General features: G+C 34.8%; 1 long non-coding RNA gene across 1 annotated transcript in view; it reads right to left on the bottom strand.

Moving 5' to 3' along the window:
- Nucleotides 1–14,527, bottom strand: part of LOC101928283 (uncharacterized) — a 194,753-nt gene that overhangs the window by 81,967 nt on the left and 98,259 nt on the right. The gene's annotated exons all lie outside the window — the stretch shown is intronic.

Raw genomic sequence — 14,527 nt, 5'->3', positions numbered from 1 at the left:
AACATCCCCAAGCTTTAATACATTCTTCTCTACATCTCTTAGCAGTTTTCAGCTTTTCCTAGGATAAAGCAACAGTCTAGAAAAAGCATAACAATGCTTGCACTGATGAAGTGACAAGGCTTTGGGGGGGGTCAGAGAAAAGTGGTCAACATTCTATATCTGTCCATATTCATTTTGCTGTTTGACAGTGAAAACAGAACTAAAATAAAAGTACTGAGTGTTATCATCTTCATTTGCTGGGATGTATCCTCATACTTGAAATGAAGCTTCCAAAGGCCAGGGAGGAGTTCTACTGCTGATCAGAATTAGCTGAAGAGAGAGAGATAAACTAAATCGGAGGTTTGTGACACGAGAGGAAATCCTGTTCACTATAAAAAATGAAGAGAAATATACTTCTAGGTTTGAGGAGAGAATGTGGTAAACTGGGTGCAAACACATGAGAGAACACTGCTTCTGATGTGCAATAGCCAAGTTCCACACATAGGCCACACTTTCCTGTCCTTCCAAGACTATTCTTGAGCAGGTAGCTGTCCCTGATTGAGTTGCCTCAAATCAAGATACGTAGTGATCAGTAAAAAACCAGCAAGAGAACAATTGATAGATGATGAATAAGTATAATAATTATGATATGAAATTTCAGATATGTGACTCTCAACACTCTAGTCCTAAGCATAATGCAAAATCTGGAAATCAATCAGTGGAATACCAGTTTGAGGTGGATAAATTTAAAGAACTTTAAGCAATTACCTAGGTGAAGTAAAGTGGAAAGGTGGAATATTAAGAAAACATAAACACAATAACCAGGATGAAGGAGTGAGAAATAACTGAAGAATAGCAATACTAAAAAGTATCTTTCATCTTCTAAAATTAAAGGATGTCATTTTCCAAAACAAAATATGCTGCTGCCTGTTCACTGTGCTTTGAATACTTTTAAATATATTTGCATGTCTTTTAATCTGGTTCCAATCTACTTTTACTTCATTCCCTTTCAACATATCTTATTTGTCGACTTGTTTAATTACATGCTGTGAACTTTTGTGGCTCTTTATTTTCTTCATATTGGTCTTTCTGTCACTCTATTTAAAAGATCTTTCTTCAAACTATTTTTGATGTTGCTGATATTCTGTAAGAACCAAGTCAAATGTCACTTTCTCTGTGAAATTTTCCATCATAAGGCAAAAGTAACCCCTCTTTTATTAGTCTGTTAAAATTTCTCTCAAAATATATGGTACATCTCTCCTTCAGGTAAATGTTTATTGAAGTCCTTTGTATATTTTTTAAATTATGTTATTTGTTTTTTGCTATTGAGTTGTAGGGTCTTCTTATATATTTTGACTATTAATCCTTTATCAGATTTATGGTTTGCAAATTTTTTCCCTTCCTTAGGTTGCCTTTTCACTTTATTTATTATTTTACATGCTGTGCAGAAATTTTTTAGTTGTATATAGCTCTACTTGTCTATTTTTGCTTTTGTTGCTTTTATTTTTGGTGACATATCCAAAAAATCATTGCCAAGACCCATGTTATGAGCATTTGCCCCTGTTTTCTTCTAGGAGTTTTACAATATCAGGTCTTATTTGTAGGTTTATTGAGATTATTTTTGACTATGTCTGTGTAAAATAGAGATCCGATTACATTATTTTGCACGTGGATATCCAGTTTTGCTAATGTCACCTATTAAATAGATTATCCTTTCATCATTGTGTATTTTTGGCACCGTTTTTGAAGATCAGTGGACTGAGTAGTCATGGGTTTATTTTTGGAATTTGTATTATGTTCAATTGATCTATATGTTTGTATTTATGCCAGTACCATCATATTTTAGATACTGTAGCTTTGTAATATATTTTGAAATCAGGAAGTATGATGCTTCCAGCTTTGTTCTTTTCTCTCAAGATCACTTTACCTCTTCTGGTTATTGTGTGTGTGTGTGTAGGTTTCAATTCATAGATCATTTTTTCTATATCTGTAAAAAATGCCATTGGATTTGGAAGGAAATAGCAGGGAATCCGCAGATCACTTTGGGCAGTATGGACACTTTTACAATATTCAATGACATTATTTTCTTAATTTCCTTTTTTGATCATTTGCTGTCAGTATACAAAAACACAACTAATATTTGCATGTTGATTTCCTATTCTGTAAGTTCACTGAATTTGTTGCTTATTTCTAACAGTTTTTTAGTGGAGATTTTACAGTTTTTTTTACATATGATTTTGCAAAGAAGCCTTACAAATGGTCACCCTATATATATATATATGAAAAGATGCTCAACATCACTAATCATGAGAGAAATGCAAATTAAAACCACAATTCTATATCACCTCACACCTATTAGGATGGATTCCATAACAACCAAAAGATAACAAGTGTTGGCAAGGATATACAGAAACTAGAACCCTTGTACACTCGTAGACTAGAAACGCCACCCTTGTAGTGGAATGTAAAAAGGTGCAGCCAGTATGAAAACCATAAGGAGGTTTCTCAAAAGATTAAAAATACAGTAATCATATAATGTAGTAATCTCACATATGGATATCTACCCAAAGGAATTAAAGTCTTGAATAGATATCTGCACTCTCGTGTTCACTGCAGCATTATTCACATTATCCAAGACATAAAAATAACCCAAAGGTTCACTAATAGATGAATAATTTTTAAAATATGGCAAGTACCTGCAATGGAATATTATTTAGCCTATAAAAGGAAGAAAATTCTGCTATAATACAACAATAAAGATGAACCTGGGAGACATTATGCTAAGTGAAAAAAGCCACTCACAGAAGTGTCTTTCTGTGCATAGTACATGATTTCACTTAAATGAGGTATCTAAAATAGTCAAACTCATAGAAGCAGGGAATAGAATGGTAGTTGCCAGGGTATGGTGGGATGGGGACATGGAAAGTTGTTTCTCAATGAATATAAAGTTCCAATTATACAAGATGAATAAATTCAAGATATCTGCCATATAACATAGCACATACAGTTAACAATACAGTATTGTGCACTTTTAAAAATTTGTTAAGAGGCCAAGCCAAGATATGAAATCAACCTAAGTGCCCACTGATAGATGAACAGAAGAAAATGTGGTATTAGCTGGGCTCAATTGCTATTGCCTCTAATCCCAGCACTTTGGGAAGCTGAGGTCGGAGGATTTCTTGAGGCCACAAGTTCAAGATCAGTCTGGGGAACATAGCAAGACCCCTTCTCTACAATAAATAAATAAATGGAAAGTGTGATATGTAGATATACAATGAAATACTATTTAACCATAAAACAAAATGAAATCCTATCATTTGTGGCAAGATAGATGAACCCGGAGGGTACTATGTTAAGTGAAATAAACTGGACACAGAAAGACAAATACCACATGATCTCACTCACGTGGAATCTAAAAAAAGTTGACCTCATAGAAGTAGAGAGTAGAATAGTGGTTACCAGAGGGTGGGAGAGCATGTGGAAGAAGAGATGGGAAGAGGTTGGTCAACAAGTACAAAGTTACAATTAGATAGAATAAATTCTGGTGTTCTAGAAGGGATACTATAGTTAATATTAATATAGTATATATCAACATAGTTAGAAGAGAGAATTTTGAATATTATTACCACAAAGAAATAATAAATTTTTTGTGTTTGTTTGTTGTTTTGTTGTTGTTGTTGTTTGTTTGTTTGTTTTTTGAGACGGAGTCTCGCTCTGTCACCCAGGCTGGAGTGCAGTGGCGCAATCCTGGTTCACAGCAAGCTCCACCTCCTGGGTTCATGCCATTCTCCTGCCTCAGCCTCCCGAGTAGCTGGGACTACAGGCGCCCGCCACCGTGCCTGGCTAATTTTTTGTATTTTTAGTAGAGACGGGGTTTCACCATAGTCTTGATCTCCTTACCTCATGATCTGCCCACCTTGGCCTCCCAAAGTGGTGGGATTACAGGCGCGAGCCATGGCTTCCGGCCGAAATAATAAATGTTTGAAGTGATAGATACCCAACTACCCTGATTTGATCATTATACAATGTACACATGCATTGAAACATCACACTGTAGCCCACAAATATGTACAATTATAATATTATGTGTCAGTTATAAATAAAATAAAACTTAAAACGTAATTTGTTAAGAGGGTAGATCTCATATTGAGTATTCTTAACACACACCACCACCCCCACAAAAACACAAAGGGACATAAGGAAACTTTTGAAGGCGATATATACATTTTTTATCTTGATTTTGGCAATAGTATCATGGGTATATGCATATGTCCAGACTCCCTAGATTGTATATATGTGCAGTCTCTTTGTAAAATCATATATACCACAAATATGCTATACTTACAATTACATTAATCAGTAGTTTTCATATAATCTTTTTCTTTTTTTGAAACAGAATTTTGCTCTGTCGCCCAAGCTGGAGTGCAGTGGCATGATCTTGGCTTACTGCAAACCCTGCCCCACGGGTTCAAGCGATTCTCCTGCCTCAACCTCCCAAGTAGCTGGGATTATAGGTGCATGCCACCAAGCTTGGCTAATTTTTGTAATTTTAGTAGAGAAGGGGTTTCACCATGTTGGCCAGGCTGGTCTCGAACTCCTGACTTCAGTTGATCCACCCACCTCAGACTCCCAAAGTGCTGGGATTACAGGCGTGAGCCACCATGCCCAGGATTTTTTTCAGTTGAAGAATTCAAGGTATATATTAAAAAACTTTGAATCAACAATTATAGAAAAAGGAAAAAAGGGCTGGGTTTGTCAGTTTCAATAGGAGATTCTATGTATTTAGTCTCCAAAGAACCCAGAATTATCTGTGGGGAGTTTTGAAGGAGTGAGCCATTTGTAAAAAACATAATATGTAGGGCATGGCAAACAGGAAGAAAAAGCAAAAAGGAGCATTAGAGTGACAAAAGGACAAACCCAAAACAGGATTTACATGGAAACCCATGCCAGCAACCTGCATCAGAGAAATGTATCTGCAGCCAGCAGTATCTCTGCTGCCATACAGAGGTCTAGAAATTTTGAAAGTTTATAAGGCAAAAAGAGAAAAGACAAATACCAAGCAAGGAATCACAGATGGAACAATCAGAAGGATTACTAAAACAAGAATCCAGTCCAAGGGGAATATTAAATAAGAATTGTCAGAATTGAGATGCTCATGAGAATGTCAGACTCAGAATAAGAGAGGCCTGATATCAAACCCCAAATATTTGTGATGGAATTTTAACTCTTTCCTGCCTTAGTTTAGAGTAAGTATATTCTAGTAAATCTCAAACCTGCATGATTATCAAAATGACTGGGTGTTTCATATAATACAAATCCTAAATCCCACTTTTAGAGTCTTAGGACCAGTAACCTTGTATTACAACAAACAAAAACCAAACCAGCGAACAAACAAACAGAAACCAGCAGCATGGGCAACATTGTGAGACTCCATCTCTAAGAAAAAAAATACAAAAAAAATTAGCTGGATGTGGTGGCAAACACCTGTAGTCCCAGCTGCTTGGGAGGCTGAAGTGGGAAGATCACTTGAACCCAGGAGGTCAAGGCTTCAGTGAACAAAGTTCACACCACTACACTCCAGCCTAGGCACTACAGTGAGACCTTGTTCAACCAACCAACCAACCAAACAACAACAACAAACAGATAAAGAAAGGTCATTATAATGTTCAGTATGTTTGTTTTAGGGTGGAAACATGGTACAGGTAGAGTCAGCCTATGCTTGACTCAATTTTTTCCTCTTCATCTAGAGCTTTTAATTTCATTTTATCTGTTTTCTTATTAAAAACTTTTCTTATTTGTAGTGTCTCACCCTAATTCTTGTCACAATTCTGCCCCTTGGATATCTTGCTTTGTGTGGTGGTTAATTTTGTTTCTGTTTCAAGGAAAGATCCCAGCTGTCTGTTGATGAGCTTTCTTCCACTCCCCCAGCAGGTCTCAGCCCTGAATCCCTACTGATAAATAAGCAAGCATCTTTGATTTTCCTTGCACTAATGTCAACAAGACCTATCTTGACTTAACAGCTTCTATCTGCACATATCTGTCAACAGATTCATCAAGAATGTCTGTAATTAATATGCTTATCCTAGTGTTAATGGTACAATTGCAAACCTATAATTAACACTTCAGTATATAATTAATACTAACATTTCAACCATATATTACAGCTGACACATTTCTGATTAAATGAACAAACTGAATTCAACAAACATTTATCTGCAACTACAGTAATTAGATGAAGATTGTGGGACAATGACAAATCAATTCCAAAGACAAATTTGCAATCTCTTGAACAATGAAAAAAGCCCACAATTGAACCATGCTATGATTTTAATAATGTCAAAACACTAACAGGTATTTTCACACAAACCATGGATAATGAAATGTTTTTTTTTAATATTCAATTATAGTTCAATACAAGAGTTGGAAATTTCCTTTCTACAAAGAGCAAGATCATAATTATTTTCAGTTTTGTGGGCCATTCCATCTCTTCCACAGCCATTCAACTTTTTCAGAGTAGGTGTGCCTGTGTTCCAACAAACTTTATTTACAAAAAATAAAAAATAGCAGGTGGTTCAATTTTCCCCCCAGGTTGTACTTTACCAATTCCTGTTTTAGTGGACATACTTGGATCTGTGGTGTATTATACATTAGGGCAATGTGATATGAAAAGATTGCTTTCATTTTCAAAATCCTTTGTATAACACATCGTGAAGACATGATAAACTTTGTATTATTTTCACAATATGAGAGTTCTAGAATTCACATTATCAAATATTTATTCCATACTCTGTGTTGTATGATGCACGAGGGATAGGAAGAGGAAAACATGTATTGGTATGAAATTCTTTCTGACAAGCTTTGTTTCAAAATGGCTGCACTATTTCCTAGGATTGCTGTAACAAATTACCATAAATCTGGTGCCTTAACATAACAGACATGTATTTGCTCACAGTTCTGAAGACTAAAACCCTGAAATCAAGGTATCAGCAGTGCCAAGGTCCCTCAAAAAGCTCTAAGGATGTATCTTGCCTTGCTTTTTTCTACTGCTGTTGGCTCTCAGCAATCCTTAGTGTCCCTGAGTTTGCAGCTGCATTACTTCAATCATCTTCAAATCATCTTTTCTTTGTGAGCCTCTGTGCCCTCTCCTTTTCTTTTAAGAACACCAGTCACCATAAACCTAGGTCGATTTTATCTTGAGATCCTTAACTGTTAACATATGCAAAGACACTATATCCAAATAAGATCATATGCTGTGGTTCCAGATGGATATGAATTTTGGGAGGGGGCAGTATTTAATCCACTACACTAGTCACTATTTTTAAATTAAATATGATTTCATGACTCCTTTAATTTCTTTCAAGTAGTGCTATTTTGCTTTTAACTCCTCAAAGAGCAGAGTTCAAAGCCTTTGTCAATTTGGTTTTGTTGAGCAATACAGAACCACGACAGATTTTAGCAGAATCAGGGAATTAATTAAAAATTAGAGCTTAAATAAATGTGAAAGGGTTGATATGAATTTTCTGGAAGGCTGTAGCTGAAAAATAGGAGAAAAATTCATGGGAGTGACTGTAGAAGCCAAGACTGATGGAGAAGTCTGAGATGCCTCTACTCTGTTTCATTAAAACTACAAAATGAGAGCTAATGGAAACATCTCCAAACTGTCAAGTATGTCCACCATGACTGCAAAATGAGAACTTATGGAAGGTCTACAGAACGGCTGTTCATGACTTTCATAACCTTCTGAGAATAATAGCTTCTACTTCATATACACCTTTACAGAATTTCCTCTTATTGGCAACGTCAAACCCAAAACCGTACAAAGAAAGGGATTCTGGGCATATATTTTCCAGCCTTCATAGGGAGTGGTGGTAAATATATATATATATATATATCCATCCAAGTGCCTTTATCAGCTTGGATATATACATATATCCAAGTGCCTAATCAAATATATATATATATATATATATCTCCAAGTGCCTTTATCAACTTGGCATCCATAATCACCATTTTAACCATATTTACTTTACATATAATATGTAAAGTGCCATCAGATTCTACAGTCAGTGCAGTATCCCTGCTATTTGCAGAGTAGTTCATTGGTATCAGGAGCCAAAATTGACATTGTAGACATCTCAGCTTTCATAGTTTTGAACTATGATGGAAAACATTACAAATCAGTAATGTTTTTGGGTTTTGTGGGGGGTTTTTGAGTGAGGTGGGGGTAAGGGAGTCAGTTTATGAGTACACAATTGCCTGACTCAGTCTGGTGGGCAGTGGTATGGTATGGTATGGTATGGTATGGTATGGTATGGTATGGTATCATATCATATCACAAAAATCAGCATTAGTATGTAACTGTTATCCAATAAAACCCTCAACTACTGAATATCATTGTTTCTTCAATACGCAATCACCAAAAAAAAAATGCCACCATAGTGCATTTAGAGAGAGTTAGAAAAGCAATTGGCAGAATAAATTGTTGGCACAGTAAAAGAGTCCTTCATTAAGGGCCTAAACTTTCTTTCTCTTAAAGATTCCTGGGCCTGTGAATTGACTCAATTTTGGGAATTACATGTGGGGCCATGAGTAATATAAAACCTCGTTTATATAAATCCTTAAGAAGGCTACTGTATTAGTCCATTTTCATAGTGCTATAAAGAACTGCCTGAAACTGGGTAATTTATAAAGAAAAGAGATTGAATTGACTCACAATTCCACATGGCTGAGAAGGCCTCAGGAAACTTACAATCAAGGCAGAAGGTGAAGGGGCAGCAAGGCAATCCTGAGAATTTCATGATATGCTAGCAAAAGATTGTTCAAGATCTTTGTAGGTCAAACCATTCTTGGTACTGCTCTGGTCCTGCTACGGATTAGGCTTACTCTACGTAGGCTGTCTATAGTGATTAAGTGGCACTGCATGGTCCCACCATTATAAAATTCCATCGTTTCATTATATTTAATAATCCCATTTTAATAGCACCATTTCCCACTACTATGCTTTGCTTGCAGAGAAAAAACACTACCATGCCTTTTGAAAGTGCTATTGCTTCCCTCATTGTGCGGGTTGAATTCCAAAAAATATGTTGAAGAGCTGTAAATGTGGCATTATTTGGAAATATAGACTTTGTAGACATTATTGAGTTAAGTTGAGGTCATAGTGGATTAGAGAGGGCCTTAAATTCAACGACTGGGGTACTTAGAGGAGAGAGATTTAGGGAAAAAATGACACAGAGGAGACATGCAGAGAAAAGAGCCATGTAAGACGGAGGCAGAGATTGGAGTTACAATGCCAAAAATCAAGGAATGCCAAGGATTGACAGCAAACAGCAGAAAGAAGAGGAAAGAAAAAATTATTCCTTAGAGCCTTCGGAGGGAGCACGGTGCTACGATTGGCTTGATTTGGGGGTTTCTAGCCTCTAGAATTGTGAGAAATAAATTTCTGTTATTTAAGCCACCAACTTTATGGTAACTTATTAAGGTAAAACTAAGAAACAAACTCACTCGCTAATATATCTCACAAGGCTGTGCTGAAGAGGTTGTCCTCTGGATTATCTCAGGGGAACTGGTTAGGAATAAGAGAAAAGGTTATATAAAATAAATCCACTCAAGCTTTCCTACCTTCTTAAACTTTGAACACCAAAGATTTTCTAGCTTGTCAAGTGTACATATTTTTAAGATATTGGCCTTCATTGTATCCTAATTATCAGACAATTAGATTATTTATCCCTTTAAATCTAATCAGATCAGATGATCAATTCTAATTTCACAACCTAAGTCTGTACTCACCAAAGCACTTACGGTACCAAAAATTTTATTAATCCTGGTGTATTCAAGGAAATAGAGCCACTACAATTTTTCAGGGAAGAATTTAATCAAGAAATTTGAGCTTAAACAAATGTAGAAGGACATGTTAGAGGGAAGGTCTGGGGTACCTTAGCCAAAGGCATGGAGAGACAGTTGCTAATGGCTTCAAACAGGAGCAGGTAGAGAAGGCAGAGCTTGTGGAGAAGACTAAGAAGTCATTACATTCATCCTCTAGTTTCAAAAAGGAGTTAGCTGGAGAGTGGCATGACTGCCATGTCTTGGTTGCCAAGAGTAATGGCTTCTAAATCTCACCTAAGCTCCTCTCATTGGCAAACCTTAAACCAGCACCACATACTTAAGAGGATTCTAGGAAACCTAGTTCCCAGCTTTGACAGTGAGTGTTGTGTAGAAGAGTGTGGTGGTCCGACACAGGGCCCCTCCACTCCAGACTAAAAATTTTTCTGTAATATTTCTATCTATATATTTCCATCTAAATATTTCTATATATGAGTTCTTCCTTAGAAATGGAGGTAAGACTATTCCTTGAAAAATTATCTTAAATTCTAGTTCTACTTAAATGCTATGGACCCAATTCAGTTTCTAAGCCTTATTGTCTAGAAGTATGTAAGAAAATATTCTAATTTTCTCTAGAGTTTAATTTCAGTATAAAGACCAAAGACATTTTTAGTAACATCTTGATGAGATTTCAGTGAAACTGTCTGCCTGCATCATTAAAGCATCTGTCTTAAACTGTGACAAAAACAGGTAATATGTTTCAACTAAGATGTGTCATACTTGGAAGTATTACTAGTCCACATTCAATTTCTGACATCATATGAAAAGATGCTTTGAGTTTAAATATAGATTCTATTGAATTGTAGCCACTTACATTTCTAATATCATACTGAACTATACAGTGAGGTAATAGAGTGATGCTGTATTTTTACTTATACCATGAAAGGCAATACATTGCTTAGTCATTCTCATATTCACAAGACAATATCATAATGGCATAAGAAACAGATTGATGATTTCAAAAGTCTCTCTAAAACCATTCATTAATTTTTAGATGAATGAGATTATTTCATAAGGCAAGAGTGTTTAATATTTCTAAATTATCAGTGATGAAATTTTGTTGTTGTCATTCTTCTTTATTATAACAAATATAACCCTGTATATGTGCTTGTACAAGCAAATTCCACTGAGTGAAATTCAGTTTGCTCAATTATTCATAAATAGTCCATCCTCTTCCTATTTCCCTCAAAAAAGATAAATAGAAACCAAACAAATCTGGAATTTTAACTATAAGGAGTCATGTGGTCTCAGAAAACAGAAGCCAATATATTGAAAAAAAAAAAAGAAAAACCCAAATCAGACTGCATAGACTTTGATTCTATGTTTGAAAGAATATGCACATTTGTAGATACCTATCTAACCTCTTCTGCTGATCCTTAGGGGTTATTGACACCTCTTCTGCAATATGTACCTTGTCTGCATTGTTAGTGGCAAAATAAAGAATAAAAGAATCAAGAGAAAATATTCTCTTAAGCTTGCATATTCTAAGTATATTTTGAGGGTACAAGCATGAAGCTAGAATTTAGGTTGCATAACTAAAAGTTTTTCAAATCCATTTATTTAATAACTATTATTTCATAAGTACTTGTGAGTCAGGACATTCTATTTGGCATCAAATTGATAATAGTTAAACTTAAATGCTATAATCATTTTGGAGAGCTAAATATCTGCCATGACATTATAGTGAAGTATATTCAGGATAATTTGGTGTGTAATGTTTTCAACACATCAGCTATTAGACTATCATTTATAGAAAAAGTAATTACACTTAAATTTTATCAAATTCTGAGTAGGTCATTGGTATATAGAGATACAGAGGTTATACGTGTGTGCCTAGAATAATGAGATATCAAAGTTGAAGATTTCAAATGAGCTTTTTAAGCTAAAAGGAACATATTTCTAAAATAATATCATAGTGGTAAAGAGCAGGACTATTGGAGTTAGACTACCCAGTTTGAAACCAGCTTCTAACAAGCATCTAAAATTCCTCAGTAAGAACTTTGGGAAGTGATTTAATTTTGCTGAGATTGAGTTTCATTTTTGTGAAAATGAGGGTAAAAAATAATCCCAAGCTCTCACATAAAACACGCAAACGTCTAAAGTGGTTGCAAACACATGGAAAAGGTGCAACAAGAGTAATGATTATTACTTGTTAAAATGTCAAATGTATTTTGTCCAATTACATTGAAACATGGAATATATATTTTGGCATGTAGATATCCAGCTCCACTCAAATGCAGAGTCAATTGCTATATGATTTATCTTTAGACATTCCTGCAATTGTAACCAAGATGTGCCATATTTTTTCACCATTTAAAACTAACACTTCCTTTAATGGCTTATCACAGGAAGTATAGTTTTCAGTTATTTGAGGGGTTCATTTTATTCCTTTTATTCCTCCCTCCTTCTGTCCTGCCTTCTTTTCCTTCCTTTCTCTTTAAACCAGGTTTTCCTATCCAAGTATTTCTGAAAATTCTCAGGGAAGATCATGTAACCTCTACAGGCAGCTGATTTTAGACCTTAGCCTCAGTCTGAAGTTGTTAAAGGTGATAGTTATTAAAGCACTCCCATATTGATTCATTCTAAATGTAGATACAAGCTGCTCACTGAGAGGAGACAAGTATAGTTAGTAAAAATATCACTGTAACAAAAGAAAAGATAAAACCAAATTCTATTAATGGCTGCAAGCCTGAAGTAGATATGCCTTCCCTGACCCAGCTCCCCAGGCCTTGAAATTTCTGTGAAATGTAAAAACGAGTGAAGAAACAAAAAGTCTTCTGCAGAAGGTAATTTTGGCCTTCATGAATACATCTCTGGCATCATGGCTTTTTTCTTATATTCTGGTCATTTCAAAAAATTATATACATAGTTTAATGGATAAATTATTTTGGAAGATATTAATTTTTAAATTTCAAACATCAAATTAACACTAAAGATATAACAACATAATAGGTAAAGACATGCTAATTTATTCATTTCTATTAAAGCACCAAAAATAAATGTGTTTTTTTTTTAATTTTTGAAGCCAAAATTATACATGGCATAAATGTTTGAAACATCTTACTGGCAGGTTTTAATGCTTTAAAAATTGAATAATATATCTTAAAAACAAAAATTACAAATAACACTAGAAATAAACACATTAAATAGGTAAAAATGTACACTTTTCAATTTGATTGCACACACATACTACCAATCTATTTGGGCTAAATAATTCTGATATATTAGATTCTATGCAATGGTGTTTGAGGTTTGACCACAATGGGGAGGTTGGCTTGACACCTGTATATTGGCATCGTTAGTCCTGCCTGTTTCAGTGCTATTTTTACCCATGTCAAGTTGTGTGTTTACTTATTTATTCATTTGAATTGTTGATGCATGAAGCTAAGTAAATTCTATTTCTTAGTTTATGACATATCACCTTCATTACAAGATGTGACTCCTGTTTTAATTTATTTGATTGTGTTTCTCCTTCATCTTTTACCATCGCTGACTTTCCTTTCCTTCTACAGGCACGCAGTCTTAAGATTTTGGTAAAATGTTGTTGATCTATTACTACTACTGCCTCTGGAGAAAATGTCTAGAACAAGATGCTAAAATAAAAATGATACCCAGTGAAAGACCTGTCACTATATGTTACAAAAGGCCCCGTGTTTTCAGGGTTTGAAACTAAAAACAACTAAATACAGAACTAAAAACAACAACAATAATAATAATATAGTCACATTGAAAGAAAACCACTCCTTTTGAATGTTTTGTATTTACCATTTTAGGACAACAGAAAAAAGTTTTATTTATTTATTTTTTTCTAGAAATAACTATGTTCAAAATGAATACTTCCCACAAGGTTGACATTAACTAAACTTTCTTAATAGATTCTATAGTCATAAACTTTTATTTGTTTAAATGCCAGTATAGATATGCAGAACTTATCTTTATACATGGGCTGTTGAGGATCTGAATCATAATTGTCTATTTTAAGAGGCACAGAGAAATAATATTCCTACTGATTTACAGCAGCTTCCTCCATAAGCCTCAATTTTTAATGTGATAGTAATCACACAAGGGGTAGAGAGGAATGTAGAGTAAGAAGTATTGATATTCTATATCAACTGTATTTGGTTGTATAAAACCATAGAGACCCTCTAAGTTTTCTGACATAACAAGATAGTGTCGGTTTTCTTAAAACAGTAGAGGGTGGGTAGGGGAAGGCAGCCTCAGAAACACATACTAACATTTACTACAAATTGTTGCCTTTTAATCAAATGACAAATGAGATCTATGACAACTTTATAGAATAACAGTTCTGTTTATCTAATAAGTACAGCATATTAACTATGCTATCCAAAGTACTTTTAAAAATCCTAATGATTGCATTGATGTTGATGGCTCTAGTGTTTAAATATCAGTAACACTGCAAATCTGACAGAGGATAGTAGAAACAATTGATCTAGTTTTTCCAACTTTTTGAAAGCAAACATCCAGCTTTTAGTTTGTTTTATATTCATAATGGCCTTTTGCATGATATTAGGCAAATTGAAGAGCAGTACGTCACTATTATGCAATTTTTTTTTTTTTTTTTTTTTTTGTGATGGAGTCTTTCTCTGTCTCCCAGGCTGGAGTGCAGTGGCACGATCTGGGCTCACTGCAAGCTCCACCTCCTGGG

Source organism: Homo sapiens, chromosome 7, assembly GCF_000001405.40.
Source record: "Homo sapiens chromosome 7, GRCh38.p14 Primary Assembly".
Lineage (NCBI taxonomy): Eukaryota > Metazoa > Chordata > Mammalia > Primates > Hominidae > Homo > Homo sapiens.
This window is presented reverse-complemented; position numbering and strand designations above follow the sequence as displayed.